We start from the raw sequence: 21,504 nt of genomic DNA on the forward strand, positions 1-21,504 counted from the left end.
CTGCAGAGTATAGGGCCACTCTGTCTTTGAGCCTGTTGGAGGTGGGGCAGGGGCTAGGATCACCCCCAGACAACACACATAGCTAGGCTTCTTCCCTTATGAAGGGAGGAGAATTAACACTTTTTCCCCATCTGTTCTGCAAAGGTACTTTAGATACAGCTCATCCAATTTTCCCAGAAATCCCTGCAAAGTCATATTACACCCATCTCACAACTGGGAAAATTGAGGCCCAGTGAGGTTTGTTAATGTGGTCACAGTTGTACAGCTGGGAAATGGCAGCTCTGAGCCCTGATTCAGTGCTGATGCCTTTAACCACTCCACCTCAGGCCCAGTGTGACTGTGCAATATGGTGCTAAGACTGGTGGGCCCACTGGGGGCTTCTCTCTACCTCCTTTCTCTATCCCACTAGGGACTGTTGGCCACAGTAAGCATATGTCCCAAGCCCCAGACCAGCCTCTTGGTCTGAAAAGATTGAGTGTACTTAGCAGGCACAATGGGACTAAAATCAGGACCTCCTAGAACAGCACTGTCCCACAGAACTTTTGGACAATGCAAGTGTTCTATATTCACGCTATTCAATGTAGTGGCTGCTAGCCACAGGTGTGAGCTAGTACAATTTCAGAACAGGATGTTCAATTTTATTTAATTTTAATCAATTGAGTTTATGTATTTAAAGTCACATGTGGCTAGTGGCTTCCACATTGGACAGTGCAGGGAAAATGTAGGACTCAGTCTGTGGGCTTTTTGCTAACCATGTCCTTCTCAATGATTCCTTCAGGTCAACCAGCCCTCCATTTCTCTGGGCTAAGGGGTGAGGAAGCCTCTTGGATGAGCTGAGTTCACAGAGGATCCCCCTTTCATGTTTCCAGTCAGTCACAGGTCAGTCAGCCCACCCACAGACATATGCTGAGACCCTATTGTGAGCCAAGCCCAAGCCAGGTGTGGGCACCGTCCCTACCCTGGAGGAGGTCCTGGGCTAATAGGACAAGTTAAAGAATAGCAATAATCATATAATGATATCAATGATGATGATGATCATTATGGTGGTGGTGCCAGTGATGATGAAGATAGTGAAAATGGCAATAATGACAGTAGTGATGGTGGTGGTGATGATAGTGATAAACATGGTGGTAGTAATGATGAAGATGGTGATGATGTTGATGATGGTGATGATGATGATGGTGATGAAGATGGTGATGACTATAGTGGTGGTGATGATGGTGATGAAGATGGTGATGACTCTAGTGATGGTGATGATGGTGATGAAGATGGTGATGACTATAGTGATGGTGATGATGGTGATGAAGATCATGATGACTATAGTGATGGTGATGATGATGATGGTGATGATGATGATGGTGATGACTGTAGTGGTGATGATGATGGTGATGAAGATGGTGATGACTATAGTGATGGTGATGATGGTGATGAAGACAGTGATGACTATAGTGATGGTGATGATGATGATGGTAATGATAATGGTGATGAAGATGGTGATGACTATAGTGATGGTGATAATGGTGATGACTACAGTGGTGATGATGATAGTGATGAAGATGGTGATGACTATAGTGATGGTGATGATGTTGATGATGGTAACAGTGGTGATGACGATGGTGATAATGACAATGGTGATGGTGATGATGGTGGTGATGGTGATGATGACAGACAATGATGCAGCTAATGATGAACAATGATAGTGTTGCTGATAAAGTCACTATCGATGAAATAAGAACAGGGACTTGGAATCATCCTCTGGATTCAAATCCACATTCCACCACTTACTAGCTATGAAGCCATGGGCAAGTCATTTACCCTCTTTGACCCTCAGATTTCTCTTTTGAAAAATAAAATTAATAAAAGCATGTCTGCCTAAGATGGCTAAGATCATTAAATAAAACACGTAAAGCATAGCCTGACACATGAAGGAATGAATAAATATTAGCTTTATTATTATTAGTCACTACTATTTATTCAGGGAATACTACTTCTCAAGTTAATGTCTTAATCTCAGTTAGTCTTCACATTGACTCTACCTCATTTCCATTTGACAAATAAGAAAACTGAGGCTCGGATAAGTTTAGAGAATTTGCCCAGGTTCTTAGGAACAAGTGGGAGTGCTGTGACTTGAATGCCAGTCTACACGACTTCAAAACTTTTCAGGTTGCCTAGTTGCCCACTGTGCTGCAAGTTAGGCACAATAAGCAGACTCAACATGGCATGGTAGAAAGAGAGAAAATGTGGATGCCTGCGTGCACCAGCTAAGTGGTTGGGATAACTTCATTTCTTATGGCTTCAGTGCCTCACCCATAAAATAGAACCATTTCTGTCCCTGGATCAGTGTAGGGAATCCATGGAAGCATATGAGTTCATCAATACAGTAGTCCATGGAAAAGCCTCATGTGGAGCTGGCACCCAGCCACAGTCAATATTAGCTCACGTTATCAGCGAGTATTGAACCATTTTTCACAGGCCCTACTTACAGCACCCCACAAGTACTCCCTTGATGACCTTTTCTCTCTCCCCTTTAATGACACACAGTGCTAACCTCCAAAGCCCTTTTCCTGAGTGGGACAAAGGAGTGTGTTACTTCCCCACACAGTTTTGCACTACTCGGCAAGGCCACAGCGAGGGGGGTATGAGCTCTTCAGGGTCTTGGTACACCCCTGCCACAGACCCTCCCCGGGTTATCACCCTGGTGCATCAGAGTGTAAAGACTCCACAAGGAATTCTGAAATCACCAATGATCTGCTGAGGTGAGAGCTGCCAGGGAAGGGAGAGGGTATTTATAAACCTGGCGCTGGTGACTGAGCCCTTAGGAAACTGAGAGAGAGCAGCTTTCCTGCCCCGCAGGGAAACCAAAGAGGAAAAACACCAACAGGCTTCAACTTTGGGCTCGAGTCAAAAGCCACTGAGGGTGCATCCAGGTCCCCTTCTAAATTTAGAACATTCAGCCAAACCATTTCTCCAGCTCACCGAGCGTCTTTTCCCTTGGCTGGGGAAAGCCAGGGGGCTTCTGAAAGCCAGGGACACAGATGGGAGGTCAGATCCAAACCTGCTTTGCCTCCATTTTTGTTTCCATTGCACTGGGGCCAAGACACTCCAGGCCTTTCTCATGCCTGAGACAGGAGAGTGGGGTATAAAGCAATTTGAAGTCAGAGAGGATGTTCAAATGTTGGCACTGGCTGCTGATTCTAACCAGCCTAAGATCTCAGACTAGCATCTTAAGCTTCCTGTATCTCATTTCCTTCATCTATAAGGTAAGAAAACCTTGGGCAGGTGACTTTTACCCAGGTGAGTCTTCATTTCATCACCTCTTACAACAGGAAAGGAAGGCTTCCCAGGTATCTTCTAGTCCCCAACCCTCAGTTTCCTTATATTTCTTTTTCTTTCTTTCTTTCTTTCTTTCTTTCTTTCTTTCTTTCTTTCTTTCTTTATTCTTTCTTTCATTCTTTCTTTCTTTCTTTCCTTCTTCTTTCTTTCTTTCTTTCTTTCTTCTTTCTTTCTTTCTTCTTTCCTTCTTCCTTCCTTTTCTTTTTTTTTTGAAGGTGTTTCACTCTTGTTGCCCAGACGGGAGTAGTACAATAGCATGATCTCGGCTCACTGTAACCTCCGCCTCCTGGGTTCAAGCGATTCTCCTGCCTCAGCCTCCCGAGTAGCAGGGATTACAGGCATGCACCACCATGCCTGGCTAATTTTGTATTTTTAGTAGAGATGGGGTTTCTCCATGTGGTCAGGGTGGTCTCGAGCTCCCGATCTGAGGTAATTCACCCACCCCAGCTTCCCAAAGTGCTGGGATTACACGCTTGAGCTACCTTGCCTGGCCAATTTCCCTATATTTCACAGGAGAGCAAGACTTACTAGATATCTTCCAGTCCCCAAGCCTCAGTTTCCCTATCTTTCACAGGGAAAAATTACGACTCAGAAAAATTCCAAGAGGGTTAAGTACAATGGCAAGCCAAGAGTGCCTAGCCCAGGGACATATGGTGACACTCAATCCATGTGGGTAGAACCAAGATGGAAACTAGAATCTGCAAGTCTCTATTCTGAGTCTCTCTTTCTCTCCTTCTTTTTTTAATAACTTCAACACACGTATTTAAACATTGCCTATGTGATCCCCAGCCCTATTATTAGTCCAGAGATAAAAACAGGGGTCAGAGCAATTGTAATCAAAAGCCATTTCTCTATCCCCGACCCTGGTGCTATGGTGTGAATTTTTGTGTTCCCCTAAAATTCCTATGTTGAAATGTAACTGCCAAGGTGATGGTATTAGGAGGCGGGGCCTTTACGAGTTGATTAGGTTATGAGGGCAAATCCACCATGAATGGAATCAGTGCCCTTATAAAATAGGCCTGAGAGAGCTCCCTGCTCCTTCCATCATGTGAGGACGCAGTGAGAAGGTGCCATCTGAGAAAGTAGGCTCTCACCAGACATAAAATCTACTGGTGCCTTGATCTTGGACTTCCCAGCCTCTAGAACTGTGAGCAATGGATTTCAGTGGCTTATAGGCTACCCAGTTTATGGTATTTTGTTATAGCGGCCTGGATGAATTAGTACTATCTCCTTCATTAATAATAATAATAATAATAGCTAAAAGCAATTGAGCACTTACTATGTACAGACATTGGGTTAAGACTTTACATAAATTATATAATTAAATCAATTACCAATGGTTTATATATATGTCAGAACCTAGGGTCATTTGATACAACAATAAAAATATAAAATAGCAACAGCAATACAAAAACTTTCCTTCTCTGACTTAATCTTCCCATTATCCCCACTATATGCTACCAGGGGCATCACACATCAGCTCAAGAACAAGCCCCTTTTAGGTATTCCATGGAGCCTGCCATATAGTCCTGCTCACCAGCTCCAGCGCCATCTCTCTGTGGAAGCGTCCATTGCTGTTCCCAAAGCCCCACTGCACTGCACTATGTCCTCTAGCTTGACGCCATCATGGGCTCCAACAACCACCCCTGGTGGGAAAGTACCTATCCCCACTCGGGCTACATCCTGTTTCCCTGGTTAAAAAACACCACGGCTCTGTGCTTGCAGCGCCTCACCAAGTTTTGATATGAAGCAGCTCTTTGGTTCTGTGCTCAGGTTTTACCATAGCTGCCTTGCTCTAGGGGGAGTTCAGTGGGGAAGCGCCTTCCTCAGATATGGACCTCTGTTCTTGCAGCAAGCTTTTGGCCTGGATTCAATCTTCCTTCAGAATGTTTCTTTCCCAGGAGACCCTGAGCAAAGAATCTCCATGAGGCCATCCCATCATCTTCTAGACAGGCCCAGGCATTTCTGACTCCTGCGGTGAACACAATAGTTTGTGCTTCCCAGCTGGGACTCACACTCAGAAGATCAAGCTTCTGGCCAGCCATGTAGCGACTCAAAGCTTGTGGTTGTCTTCTTAGTACTGGGTTGGTTTTGAAATGACTCATCCACAGCGTCTGGCTGCTTTTTGTGAGAAACTTTGTGCATTGTTGAGGCAAATGGTTAGCATGAGGGGTTCATCTCTGCTCATGATGATTGTTCAATACATGCTCAATGATTTAGACTAAATTTCACTCATGCATTCATCAAATATGTATGAGCTTCTGCTCTGTACACCCTACAATGGCCCTAGGATGGCATTTGGAGACACTGATGTGCAAAACATAGTCGCATAGCTGAAAGGGTCAGATATTCATTTATTCAAAAAATGGGCACAAAAATGTACAAAATGCAAAAAATATCTTCCCTTGTGGAACTTGCATTTGAGCATGAATAAGTACATGCAATGAAGTACCAAGTGGAGCTGCTATCAGAGAACTCTGGAAGAATACAACAGGGTGAAGAAGAGGAATGATTAATTCTATGTGGAGAGGGGAGGAGGATCAGGGAAGGCTCCTGGCGGTGGGGGAGAGGGGTGATCCCTGAGTGAAGTCTTGATAGAATAATAGGTATTAATAGGTTTTGAAGACAAGGACACAGTGTAAACAAAGGAATGGGACTGCTGGCTGGTAGGGGAAACCAAGAGTAGATTGTAGAAGTTGGAACATTGAGTACAGGGAGAAGAAGGAGTGGCATCATGAGAAGAGATGAGGTCTATGAAGACCTCAAAATGAGAACTTCTAGTCCGTGGTTCCCTAGGAAACTGAGCCCGAGGGTAAAGCTTTCCAGGGAGTGCAATCCCTGGGAAGTAGAAATGAGGGAAAGGGGGAGTAAGTAAGGGAGGCACTGGGAGCAAATAGAAGGATGTCATTACCCAACTGGTCATGACTTGGTGACAAGATGATCTCTTTGGCTTTACCAGGCATCTTTGCAGAGAACGTGAGAAAGATTGCATCTCTGAAACATCCATCTAAGCGAGGGAAGACAGGGGACTTTACACAAGGCTTCCATAAGGCATTGGTCAACATTTGCCCCATAGGTGATTAACTCCTGCACTTCTGATGTGTAAGCACTGGGCATGTGGGAACACCAGGTGGATCATGTAGTGTCTTGCACCTGGAGGAAGCCCCTGGGCAGGAGAAAAGAGGGCCATGCAGGCTCATGGCCGGAGAGACCCTAACAGTAACTGGGATTTGGAGCAACAGTAGAGGCATGCTCCTCCCTTTGTAATTCAGGCCCAGCTGACGAGCATTAACATCAACACAGACCTTAAGACTGACAGAAAAGACTCTTTAAGTCTGATAAGAAACATGTATATCTATTCTCTCTGAAGCCTACTACCTGGCTTCCCCACCTGCTGCCTCAACAACCTGGCTATAAAACTAGGGAACAATATAAGACGCTGCTAGGGCTGCCCCAGCTAGAAAGCAAGGCAAGTGCTCAGATACAGGATGGTATTTAAACTGAATCTGGTACAAAGCCTTCAATGGATTTTAATCTGTAGAGTAATGTATTCGAATTTGTGTTTTTAAAAGACCACTCCTGGATTTCTCAAAGAACTGAAAGTAGATCTGCTATTTGATCCAGCAATCCCACTACTGGGTATCTACTCAAAGGAAAAGAAATCATTATATAAAAATGATATCTGCTCATATGTTTATCACAGCACTATGCACAGTAGCAAAGATAGGGAATCAACCTAAATGTCCATCAACCAATGAGTGGATAAAGAAAATATGGCATGGATATACATATGTACGTATATACCATATAAAAGTGGTGTATACACACACACACACACACACACACCAAGGAAAACTACTCAGCCATTTAAAAAAAGAGTGAAATAATGTCTTTTGCAGCAACTTGGATGGGACTGGAGGCCATTATCCTAAGTGAAGTAACTCAGGAATGGGAAACCAAATACCGCATGTTCTCACTTATAAGTGGGAGCTAAGTTATAGGTACACAAAAGCATGCAGAGTGGTATAATCACATTAGAGACTCAGAAGGAGGAAGGGTGGGAGGGGGGTAAAGGATGAAAAAAAATCACCTTTTGGGCACAATGTAGTAGTGTGATGCGTACCCAAGTACTCATCACACTACTCAGGAGATGATTACACTAAAAGCCCAGACTTTACTACTGTATAATTCGTCCACGTAACAAAAAACCACTTGTACCCCTAAAGCTATTAAAATAAAAACATTTAATAATAAAAAATTTTAAATTAATAAAAAGACCACCCCAGCTGCAGAGTAAAGAATGGGTTTCGAGTTTCCCAAAGAGTGCTCCATGCACCAATGGAGATATTTCAAAGTATTTTATGTCTTTATGTTGTGCACAGGTTTATTTTACTAGCTAAGTTTTTAGAAAATGTATGTGTATATGTTTTACAGGTGTTTATGTAGACAGTACAATGTTAGATTTTATATAATAAATGCAGTCAATGTAAACAAACGTGCAAGGTTGAATACTACAGATGGGAGAGAGATGTGGACAAAATCAAAAAGGTAAAGTTTAGGAAATGCTGGATTAGACTGAAGGGTAGGTGACCAGCTAGGAGAGAGAATCAGGAGATAAAATGAAAGAACCTACCATGATAGGAATGAGAGGAAGGGATAGATAAGAACAATGTTGAGGAGTCAGGTTTCAAAGGACTTGGTCGTTAACTGGATATAGGAGCCTGAGAGAAAGATTAAAATTCAACGATGCTTTAGCAATAAGAAGGTAAAGGATTCATGGAAGGTCAGATGCAGAACTTCACCCCTTCAACTCTGTGTCCCAACCCCATGGGTTCATTAGACAGAGGATGAGCTGCTGATTTGCCAACCAAGAGCTCCAAAGCCAGATGTGCATGCCCTACGTGTGCTTCAGATGAAGAAGTGTGGACCTCAGTGTGGACCTTCGGAAATGGTGAGGACTGTCTGGGCCGGAGAAGAGCAAACACAGCAGTGGCACAATGGCAACCAGCTGATGAACCATTCTTGTGGGAAACAACCCCAGCCACTTGGATCCCAGCCTGGTGAGTCAGCACCCAGGCTACTGCTTGCCACCCACCAAGAAATGCACATGTTTGGAAATTTGATGACATCTGGAGTTTCAGTCTTAATCAGGCTGGTTTTGGCATTTCCTTTCCAGGCATGGAGCTGTTTCTGGGTATTTTTCAAAATTGTCTATAGGGAATGCCATAGAAAAACCCCTAAACTGAATCTTGCTAGAGCCACACCTTGCAATTCCACGACTTTTGCACATTTATCTAATGATTTGCCGAGTAGCCACACCAACAAAGGACAGAGCAGAGACTGTAAAGGGATGGAGCCAAGCTGTACCTAGGCAGAAAAGTTTCCCCACCTGCTGCCTCACGCCCATCTCTGCTGTGTACCAGGTGTAAACTAAAAATAAAATTCTAAGCCCCTCAACCATCTGAACGGACCCCTCCCCTTGGCCAAGGGCGTTCTAAAGTTAGCCTGAAAAACTAATGCAGGCCATCATGGGAAGCAGGAGTTGGACATGCTCCTGCCTTTGGAGTTCAGGCCCAGCTGACCAGTATTAACATCAACACAAACCTTAAGACTGATAGAAAAGACTCTTTAAGTCTGATAAGAAATATGTACATCTATTCTCTCTGAAGCCTACTACCTGGAGGCTTCAACTGCATGATAAAAGCCTGGTCTCCACAACCCCTTATTTAACTCAGACATTCCTTTCTATTGATTCCAAGTCTTTAGACAATAACTTAACTCTTTCCATCAACTGTCAATCAGAAGATCTTTGATCTACCTATGACCTGGAACTACCCCTCCACCCCAACCACCACCACCTCACCCCACCCCCTCACTCCCTCATTTTCACTTCTAGTTGTTCCACCATTCTGGACCAAACCAATGTACAGCTTACATGTATTAATTGATGTCTTATGTCTTCCTAAAATGTATAAAACCACGTTGTAGCCCGACCACCTTGGGCACATGTTCTCAGGATCTCCTGAGGGCTCCGTCATGGGTCATGGGTCACTCATATTTGGCTCAGAATAAATCTCTTCAAATATTTCACAGAGCTTGACTCTTTTCATCAACACAGGTGTGACAGTGGCAAATCAGTTATCTGGGGTTCTCCTACTTCATCTAAAAACTGGAGGAAATATGCTCAGTAAGGTACTTTGCAATTGCTCAATGTCTTGTAGTCATGATGATGATTTTGAGATGTCTTATACTTTGTCTTTTATCATCAGCACTCCTCCAGCTCACAGATTCTCTTACTCCTTGCGAATGAATTTTGGACCAGGAATAGCCGTATCTGTGAGTTTGTTTTGAGTCAAAAGTCTGGTCGACACACCATTACTACCTAACTGCCAGTCTACCAGTCTAGGATCATAGCACTAACCACTGCAACCCCAAAAGTGGTGTGTCCAACACCACTCTCTTGGATGACGCATGGTGTGGAGCAGCAGTTCTCAAAGTATTTTCTGGGAAATTCTAGGGGTCCCTAAGACCCCTCCAGGGAGCCTGTGAAGTCAAGGCTATTTTCATATTAATAATACTAAGGCATTGCTTACTTTTTTCATTCTTACTGTCATGAGCGTCTGGTTGAATATTCCAGAAGCTACATGATATGTGATATCACAACAGATTGAATACAGAAGCAGATATAAAATCCACCTGTCATCTATTACATCAGACATTTAAAAGATTTTTAAAAATACAAAAGAATGCCACTCTTCTCACTACTTTTTTATTTTGGAAAATGCAGTTGTTTTTCATAAAAATGTTATTCATGTCAATATGTAACGGGTCTATTATTGTTATATTTATGTGAGTTAAAACTTTTTAAAATTTCTTCATTACATTTCTAATATCTTAAATATCAGTAGATACCACTCATATACATAAAAGCTCTTTGGGCTCTTTAATCATTTTTTTCATGAATCCTTAATTATATTTATTTTTTAAATATAAGAATATTTTTAAAAGTATAACCACAGTAGGATTAACCACCTAAAAATTAACAATAATTCCTTAATATTATGAAATATTCATTGTTCCAATATTTCAGATTGGCACACACACACATACACAGTTTTTCATTTAAATTGGGATCCGAAGTAGTCCTTATATGGCAATTGGTAGATATGCCTCCTAGGTAATCCCATCCCACTGATATTTTTTTTCTTTGAAATTCATTTGGTTATAAAACCTAAAGCTGAAATAGTTTGTGTGGTTTTCTACATTCTAGGTTTGACTAATTGCGTTGATGGAGTTTTGTTTAACGTATTTCTCTGCCCTCTGTATTTCCTGGACATTACAAGTTTCATTTACAGGCACGATTATACCCAGGTGGGATAATACTTGCAAGGGTGCTTTCTCGGTGGTGGTGTGTCCTAGCATGAGAAGGCACAAGATGTCTGACTGGGGAAGTTGACAAGAATGGTGATCATAAATCTGATAACTCATTAGTGGTTACAGCTCAATCACTTTTAAGAGCATGAAAGGATCCTGTGACCAAAGTGTATGAGAAAACCAAGTGTGAAGATCACAGTTTTTCAAATGAGACGACTCCATACTCCACTCCCAGCAGTTGCCATTTATTAGCTGAGACTAGGAATGGATTTGGAAAAGTTACTTAACCTCTTTGAAATTCAGTTTCCTTGTCTGTAAAAGGAGGATCATAATATTCTCCAACCAACTGCTTGATTGTAAAAACTAAACAAAACAACAGATACAAAAGTCAGTGTGTGGCACCCAGGGTATGGAAGGTACTCAATTGATTATCTCTCTCTCCTGATAACAATCGAATTCAGAAGCTGACAGGGAAAACTATTCTGAGTCCTGAGTAAAAGTGGACAGTGGGCTGAAGAGGGAGACAAATTCTCCCTCACTTCTTCCAAGGTACAGGGGCCACCCCATCCCCACCTTGAGCTAGGTGCTATCAGAACTACTATGGTCTTGTGATTCAGATAGAGATGGTTTCCAAGAATGATTCTGCCATTATCTGGCTGTGTGATCTCTTGGAGCCAAGAGCCAAGTTCCTTGGGGGCCATGATACATAACTCTTGGGTTCATTGTGAGGAATCATGATCTACTACAGATGGTATGCTGACTATGGGACCTGATATGTTACATATAGGCAACAATGGTGCTGGTTGCTTGCATTGTGTTAATAATACTATAACTGTATTAGGAACAATTTTTTTTGCTGCTATTGGTGGTGATGATGTGGGTGTTGTTGAAGAAGGGGGGAAACTAACCTCTCTCACTCCACAGCTAAGAAACATAAAGGGTAAAAATTGGGATCTCAGGATTGATTAATGGGCACACAACCTTCCAAGTTGAGCTCCCTTGTACAGCATGACTAGAAAATAAAATGGGACCTCTTGTCTACCTTTCATTCCCAAGTACACCTTCTCTTCTTATTCCTCTTATTCAGGCAGAAAAGATAAAGAATGGAAGCCCTCCCTCCAGGGGTGCACACCAGCCAAGGGAAGAGATGTGTATTTTGTCTCTGGGACCCAGTCAACAAGGCCTAGTGCATGTCAGGCTCTCACTGATCAGAGGGGCACCACCGTCTCCCATGGAGAAACTTGAAGAAGGACTAGAGAGAAGTGCAAGCTGTCTTGCCAGCACTTCTGAGTCATTGGTGGGGGTTCCTACACTAAGAGCAGAAGTAGGAACATGGGAAGGGGAAGAGAGAGCTTCCCCTGTAGTAATAAAAATTTAAAAACGGCCTCCATGATGATAATCCAAAAAACTGACAAGACCAAACGCTGATGTGGTTGTGGAGCAACAAGAATTCTCATTCATTGCTGGTGGGAATGTAAAATGGCGCAGCTACTTTGGAAGATAATTTAACAGTCTTACGAAGCTAAAGCTAAACATAGTCCTGCCATACTACCCAGTATTTGTACTCCCAGGTATTTACGCAAATGATTTGAAAACTTACGTTCATGCAAAAAGTTGCACATGATGTTTATGTGCAGCTTTGTTCATGATTACCGAAACTTGGAAGCAACCAACACATCCTCCAGTAAGTGAATGGATAAAAAATTATGGGACATCAATACAATAGAGTTTCTTTGTTTTTTTATTTTCTACAACAGGGCCTCACTCTGTCACCCAGGGTGGAGTGTAGTGGTGCGATCATAACTCCCTGCATACTTGAACTCCTGGACTCAAGCAATCCTCCTGCCTCAGCCTGCTGAATGGCTGGGACTGCAGGCATGCACCACCACAACTGGCCTCCCATACAATAGAATATTATTCAACAATAAAAAGAAATTTTTAATAAAGTCACAAAGAAGACATGGAAAAAGTTAAATGCATATTGCTCAGCAAAATAGGCCAATCTGAAAAAGCTACATACTTACATACTGCTTGATTTCAACTACATGAAATTGTGGAAAAGGCAAAACTATAGAAATAGTAAAAAAAAAAAAAGAAAAGAAAAGTTGCCAGGGGTTTCAGAGGAGAGAGGTAAGGATGAATGGCTAGAGCGTCAGAGACCTTTTTAGGGCAGTGAAACTATTCTGTATGATACTATAATGATGGATACATGACATTACATATTTGTCAAAACCACAGACTGTACAACACAGAGTGAACCGTCATGTAAACTATGGCCTTTCATTAGTAACATTAATGAATCAATATTGTTTCATCAGTTGTTGCAAATATACCACACTAATGCAAGATGGCAATAATAGAGAAAAGCGTATGGGGTTTGGGGAAGAGGGTATATGAGAACTCTGTGCAATCTGCCCAATCTTTCTGTAAACTTTAAACTGCGCTAAAAAGTAACATACATTAATTAGAAAACAAGCAAACATAGGATTAATTGCTTTCTGAGCCAGCTAACACATCTTCAGACCTGAAAAAAAAAATCTGACAGTTAATTATGACAAATAATTCTGACAATTGATGCCCAGCCCCAGAATCCAGGCAGAGAGAAAGACAACAGTCACTGATAAATTACAACAGAGGCATCACAAAGGGACAAGAAACCCCTCATGTCTAAGTTCTTGACCCACAGGCCCAAGGAAGAAGCTAATCCCTGTCCCAAGCCCCAGTGAAACTCTGCTGAACTCATCCACTCTGACCACCATTGCCATCCCTGATCTCCCAGCTGGTGAAGAGGATGCCATGCTCTCTCACAAGAGAATCACTAGTGCCCCCCAAAGAAAACCAACCCTAGAGGACTCAGATTCCCTCAGGGTCCACCTTGTCACTAACCCAAGCATCTGCCACCTAAATCCCCTTCCCTTCAACACCAAGGTTGAATGGGTATTCAAGTAAAATGGCCCCCAGTAAATAGCTTGAGCTGCCATCACATGTACTGTGAGCTCACCAGCACCTTCCCCAGGCTGTGATAGGGGCAAGAGGAAGGAGAAGAAGACTGGGGCGACATTCTCCTGGGAGAATGTCAGTGTGCTGAGCTCTCTTCCCTTCTCTGGCTTGACTCAGACCATCAGAGTTGGGTTTTGCCATCAATTAAACTCACAGGTAAAAGCAGCATCCTGAGTTGCAATATCATTTAATATTATTTTCAATTGCTTTAACGACACTATCAAGTCCAACAGCTTGAGTCCAGTACACAGAGATCAATGTCTGGGTAACACAGTGCAGTTGAAAAAGTAGGGAATCTAAAGCCATAAGCTAAAGTTAACATCACCAGTAAAAGAACAAATGGACACCAAGTGCCTCCAGATATGATGCGCTGAGAAAGACACAACAGTTCTATCTCGTTCATGATGTCCTTGCCAAAAGTGCATAGCCTGAATTTTACAATGGGGAAAGTTCAGACAAACGCAATTTGAGGGACATTCTACAAAATATCACTGGCCTGTTAAAGTCTCCTTAAAATGTCAAGGTCAAGGACATCTCAGAAAGGTGAAGGAACTGTTCCACGTTAAAGGCAACTAAAAAGATGTGACAACTAAATGTGATGCATAATCCTAGATTGGATTCTGGACCAGAAAAAGGATATTCAGGGGACAATTGGAAACATTTGAATAATTAAATTGTAATATTGTTATGAATGTTAACTTTCTAATTCTTACCATTATGTCACACACAAGAAGTTGGCATTTAGGGGATTTGGGTGAAGGGTATGTGGAATTATTTTTGCTACTATTTTTGCAACTTTTTTGTAAATCTGAAATTATTTCAGAATTAAAAGTTTTAAAACAAACGGAAATATAAATAATAGAGTTGCTGCTCCGCTGTTTACCACTGTATCCTTGGGCGAGTCACTTCATCTCTTTGAGCCCCAGTTTTCTCTCCTATCAAATGGAGGTACTAAAAGAGACTGAGAGACTGGGCAAAACAGTGAGACCTCATCTCTACAAATAATTTAAAAAATTAGCCAAGCATGGTGGCACACACCTGTAGTCACAGCTACTCAGGAGGCAGAAGTGGCAGGATTGCTTGAGCCTTGGAAGCAGAGGTTGCAGTGAGCTGAGATTACACCACTGCACTCCAACCTGGGCAACAGAGCAAGACCCTGTCTCAGAAAAAGAAAACGGGGCACGTATACACCATGGAATACTACGCAGCCATAAAAGAGGATGAGTTCACATCCTTTGCAGAGACATGGATGAAGCTGGAAACCATCATTCTCAGCAAACTAACACAGGAACAGAAAACCAAACACCGCATGTTCTCACCCATAAGTGGGAGTTGAACAATGAGAACACATGGACACAGGGAGGCGAATATCACACACCAGGGCCTGTCAGGGGGTGGCGGGCTAGGGGAGGGATAACATTAGGAGAAATACCTAATGTAGATGACGGGTTGATGAGTGCAGCAAACCACCATGGCACGTGTGTACCTAAGTAACAAACCTGCACGTTCTGCACATGTATCCCAGAACTCAAAGTATAATAAAATGATAATAATAATAATAAAGCTGGGCTCAGTGGCTCACTCCTGTAATCCTAGCAGTTTGGGAGGCTGAGGCGGGAGGATCATGAGGTCAGGAGATCGAGAGCATCCTGGCTAACACGGTGAAATCCCGTCTCTACTAAAAATACAAAAAATTAGCCAGGCATGATGGCGGGCACCTGTAGTCCCAGCTGCTCGGGAGGCTGAGGCAGGAGAATGGCGTGAACTCGAGAGGCGCAGCTTGTAGTGAGCCGAGATCACACCACCGCACTCCAGCCTGGGTGACAGAGCAAGACTCTGTCTCAAAAATATAATAATAATAATAATAATAATAATAATAATAATAATAAAAAGAGATTGGGCATAAAAATACCTTATAAATAAGGAACTAACCTGAAATAACTGCACGTTATTTAATAGTATGTCTGCATGCTATTAAACACATTTAGGATCATATACAATTCTGAAAACAACAGCAACAGAAACCTAGACAAGAAATCTGAAGCCAAGAGGCTATGGCATCACAATACGCCACAGAGTAGGGGAGGCAGAATTCAAACCCAGGTCTATTTGATTCCAAATGCCAAGCTCTCCCAGCTCCACCAGGGCTGTTACCATGAGGACAACTTGATGAATGACACAAGACACAGGGCAGACGAGAAGAGAGACCCAAAGACTCCACAATCAAACAGGAAATGTGGCCAAGAGTAGATATAATCTTCAAGACACAACCGCAAGCTAAGAAAAAACATTATCAACCACAGATCTATTCCACCAAAGATTGGCCCACAACATCTGAATATTCTCCTCTTTGCCAATAACTGCTTGTTACCATCCAAATTGTAGTGAGAGCAGCTCATATGTCTCTTTTTGCAAGTGAAAGTGTAAATAAGGGTGGCTGCACAGGTGGCACACTGGGACACAGTATGTGCCATGAGGATGGAACCCATTAGGTCCTCTGTCACCTTGAGACTGCACGCACCTGCCATCTGTCCTGGCAAAGCCCAGGGCTCCACACTCCACAACAGCAGGAAAACTCCAAGGATCAGCCTTCTCGACCTGGCCCGCCGAGCTTGCCCTGAGAGCTCTATCTGTGTGTGCTTCTCTGCACACAGTGGCTAAATCTGCGGACCCCCCAACCATCCTACAGCCACCAATCATTGTTAAGGCCCTTAATCCAGGAGGTTATTAAGTTACACCCCACAAGTCACCATCTGGCTGGTGGGGATTTCCTGAGTGGGTGGGGTCTCCTGGCACTTCTTGAATTACACCAGCTTGGATGTCAGTCCCCAATGACAGAGTCTCAGAGACTCTCTCTGCCTCCAAATTCACTCCCAACCCTCCTGCCCCAGTCTTCAGCCAGGCTTCCATTGCTTTTAAGGGGAAAGGGAGAAGGTGAATGTCAGGGAATGAACACTTATGGGCCACCTAGTACGAGCCAGCCCCTCTTCTGGGCATTTTCTACACTTGGCTCACATAAGTTTTACAAAAACTTGTAGTAGGTGTTATCGTGCCCGTCGAACAGATTACTTACAGTGACCATAATCAAGACTGTGTCATTCATCAAAGTCAAATCAGAGATTTAAACGCAAGGTCATCTGGCTTCAAACTATGCTCTTTCTACTAAAACCTAAGAATCTCTAACATTCTTGCCTTTGCTCTCTCTGGCCACTTTTCTCAGCAAAATCTCCCCAGATTTATTACCAATTGACAATCTTGGTGGAGGAATTATCATGGGTCATGCACACACTGGCGTTTCCCACTCACCTGGTACCAAACACAGCCTCCTTCTCTTCCTTGGGCAAGACAGTGGCTGCCCTATACAAGTGCCCAGGATACCCCTCCTGCCCTCATCTTGAACCTCCCCATGTTGGCTCTTGAGACTACTGTCCATTCTGCTGCTGGGTTCTGAGTTCAGGCTCTTGGCCAGGCATTCCAGATCAATGCACTGGTCATGTCTTCTGATCTTGGATGCCAACTTCTGGACTTGGCTTCATGCCCAGCGTAGGCACACTCCTGGTCCAGTGCCACCACATCCATGTTTCCAGGAAGGGATGTGAATGATGAAGTAGAAACATCACTGGAAATCTCCAAATGCAAGAGCTTCCAATGGGACTGCTTTATGGAATCCCTGGGGGAAAGTACGCCAAGTCTCATATACTCTCATTTAATCTTGTCACCAATCCTGAGAGACGTAGTGGGAGCCCCAAATACAGATGAGGACACAGAAGGCCACAGAAGAGCAGGGGCGTGCCATGGCCCCTCAATCAGGGAGTTTCTCTAGGGGGACAATGCTCCGCTTGGTTACCAGCAAAGACCCTGCTTGCAGATCCTTCTCTGGGAAAGCAAAGGGGCTTTAGCACATCACGACCAGCTTTCTCCTGGGCCCCACTTCGGCTGTGCCCAGGCCTGCATGTGTTCAGAGCAAGACGCCTGTGCTGAGTTCACTGACTGGAGTGCCCTAAGCCCTGCCCATGGCATTCACCAGCATAAGTATTAATGTGGTCACTATTGGTTAAGTGGTAATACCATGCCAGCAATTGTCCTAAAGATATACACACGTGTGTATTTGTATATGTATGCATGTATGTATCTATCTATATAATCTCATATTATAAAATAAATCTAATACACATATAATCTCATGCACAGGTGTAAAGTCCATTTAATCACTAAAGAGTGACAATGTGCCCAAAACTCTTCTAAGCATTCTATATATAGATAAAAATCTCATGTATATATGTATATAATCTTATTTAAATGTATATTTCATATATTTGTATAAATCTAATATACCTAACACACACATATACAAAAATCACAGTCTTTAAATAGTGACTTTATGCCAACAACTCTACTAATAATTGTGTATAATAATGACATGTCATCTAATTTACATGACTCATATAAAAGATCTTGCAAATATATATATATACACGTGAAAATCTCATTTAATCATTAAACAGTGACTATATGTTAGCAACTGTTCTAAATACTATATATACTCATTTATATATAAATCTCATATGCAAATTTAATCATTAAAAATGACTATAGGCCAATAACTGTTTTCTATATTATACATTATAATTTTAGATTTCAGTGTCATTTATATACTTAAACTTTATATATATATATATATATATATATATATATATATATAATTTCACAAATATACAGACACACAGACATATACACAGGTGTGTGTAACTCTGTTAACCCTTCAAAAAGTCCCTAGAGGCAGGCACAGCTGTTATCCTCAAAGGCTGAGCAAAACCAGACACCTGGCACTTGTGATAATCAGGTATATTAGTCCGCCCTCACACTGCCATAAAGAACTACCTGACACTGGGTAATTCATGAAGAAAAGAGGTTTAATTGAGCCACAGTTCAGCAGGCTTAACAGGAAGCATGGCTGAGAAGCCTCAGGAAATTTACTATCATGGTGGAAGGTGAAAGGGAAGCAAGCACCTTCTTCACATGGCGGCAGGAGAGAGAGAGAGCAACTGGGGTTGTGACACACACTTTTAAACCATCAGATCTCATGAGAACTCACTATCACGAGAACAGCATAGGAAAAACCGCCCCCACACTCCAATCACTTCCTACCAGGTCCCTCCCCCAACATTGGGAATTACAATTCGACATGGATTTGGGTGGGGACACAGAGTCAAATCATATCACCAGGTCTCAGCTGGGCTCCTGGAAATCACACTTAGACCTGCTCCCACAAATCCTAGAGCCACTACTGCCTCAGTTATGAGCAATTCTAGTTTTGCAGCTGCTCGGACTCAAAGTCCCAGGCTCACCCTTGACCCCTCTCTCTGTCTGACTCCACAGCCCATCCACCTGCAAATCTTTGCCTTCAAAAGACTCAGGGTTTTGCTCCTTTTCACCACCTCAACCACCCCACCTCTGATTAAATTCAAGCCTCTGTCGAGGTGCAGATGGACAATCCCAAGAGTCTCATGTTATTGACCTTGCTCCTGCCATCACTGGCTTTTGTCTATTTACATGGAGGAAATTTGTTAAAGCACAAGTCAGCCCAGGCACTCCTCTCTGCACCCTCCAGGGTCTGCCATCTCAGTTGGAGAGAAAGCTCAAGTCATTGTCACAGCCTACAAAGCCCTACAGCGTGTCTCTCATATGGAGAATGCCACCACATTGAAATCACCACTTTCTAATGCCTGCATAATTTTTAGATGTAATTTGTGTATCTCACATTTATTAAGAAGGGTTTGTTAAGAGGACTCCATTACAGAGAACTATGCTACCCACTATTACACACACACACCCATAAAGCAAGGAAAGAGGTCTCCCCCTTCATCTCAGGTTGAAGAATGGGGCCTTACATATACCTCCCAAAACTTGGAGGACATAGTAGATTGGTGTCTGACTCATGCCTGAGAAATCCCTTGCATCAGTTTGGACAGAGGATGCATGAGTGTTTCCCATGAACCACATGTGGTGTGGCATGGCAAAGAACTGGCCTGGGGACTGTCTTGCCCTAAAGGGGTCAACAGAGATGAACTGGAAAAGCTGACAGTGGACAACCAGACTCCTAGGAGCTGAAGGAATAGCTGATGACATAGGGTTCATCTGGCAATTATAGAGGACTGCCCACCATCAACTGAGGGAGGTCACTAAAACCTCATACAATTTCACTATGTGAGAGAGTCAGGTATAAACACCTATGAGGCTCAGAGAGTGAAAAGCCCCACCTGTCAACAGCACCAGTCACAGAAGATCTTTCCTGCTTTTCCCAGTGCAGAAAAGGCAGCAAGGATTAGACACTTTAAATGAAGTTGGGAGCAATGATTCTTATGTGGAAAATAGTCATTTTTGATTATTGAATTGAGACTGTGTTTGTGACTAGTAACTCTTACGTATGAATGAGAGAAAGGTCCTGAAACCCATCAAGATTTCATTCAGGGTTAGGGAAGGACTACTCCCATTAAACAGACTTAAAGGGACAGTGAGAGGCAAATCAAGTTGCTTTTGTGATTGCACTCCATTACTGCTTATTCAATATACTGCTTGATCATTTAATTACTGATATATCTGATGGATGTGGGGTCTCAGCCCACTTCACTCTCTTTGTTCTTAACTTTTATCTCCCCTATTGGGGGAGGGGTTCTTTCAGCATAATGTCACATCAAAGCTAGCAAGTGAGAGATAATTGAAATAAGGAGGGTTTGTCTTATAGATATTATACTCTGAAACATCAAAAAGACCTCATCCAATCTATTGGAGGGGCCATAAGAATCTAGGAGCAAAGGACCCCACAGCTTTGACCTTCACTACTTAAGATGGAATCAGGTCTTTAGAGAAGGGGAAAACAGTCACACAAAACAACAATGATAACACCAAGAACAACAGAAAGCAAAAAGGAAAGGGAGGCCAGCAGAGGTAAAATCCTGAGCTCCATCCAATTATGGCTTCCCCACAGACCGAAAAGTATGGAGAATATGAAAAATTAACGTGGCACCGTCTTCTAGACTCTAAGTGTTCATAATTGTGTAAGATGTTCTCTCCAGCACTGTACTGTAGACATGTCAAGAATCATGGCAGATTACCCACCCTTCTCACATTACTAGACTCCAAGCTCCTGTATGACTGGGGCTGTCTGAGTAATCTCATGATTCCCCAGCACCTGTGCAGCTCCTGAGACAGAGCAGGGGGCCCATTAGCCATTACTGAATGGATGGAAGAATGGATGAACAAACAGATAGATGGATGGATGGATGACGGATGGAAGGATAATGTATGGATGAATGGAAGGATGATATATGGATGGATGGATGGATGGATAAAAGGATGATGGATGGACGATGGGCAGATGGACAAATAGATAGGATAGATGGAAGAATGACAGAATGACAGGTGAATATTTGGATTATGGACAGACAGATGAACAGATAGGATGGATAAATGGGTGGATAAATAGATGAATAAAAGAATTACAGATGAATGGATGGTTGGATGATTGACAGATGGATGGATAGGATGGATGGATGGAAGGATGGCCGATGGACAGATGGTTGGATGATAGGTGAATCGACAGGATGGATGGAAGAATGGGTGGACAGATGGAGGAACAGAAGGATGATGGATGAATAACGGATAGATGGATAGATAGAAATGGATGGATGGATAGATGGAAGAATGGCAGACACATGAACGGTTGGATGATGGACAAATGGACAGGATAGATGGATGAATGGATGGGTGGATGGATGGATGGGTAGATGGACGGAT

The 21,504-nt window shown here is 42.8% G+C and overlaps 1 annotated feature.

Annotated features, from left to right (window-relative positions):
* Nucleotides 4,914-5,403: an enhancer, noted in NCBI's record as "active region_11168". NCBI's record gives its function as "activates an Ori minimal core promoter by ATAC-STARR-seq in GM12878 lymphoblastoid cells {active_cell/tissue: GM12878}" and the evidence as "EXISTENCE:reporter gene assay evidence [ECO:0000049][PMID:35858748]".

This window comes from Homo sapiens, chromosome 16 (genome assembly GCF_000001405.40).
Source record: "Homo sapiens chromosome 16, GRCh38.p14 Primary Assembly".
In the NCBI taxonomy this organism is placed as follows: domain Eukaryota; kingdom Metazoa; phylum Chordata; class Mammalia; order Primates; family Hominidae; genus Homo; species Homo sapiens.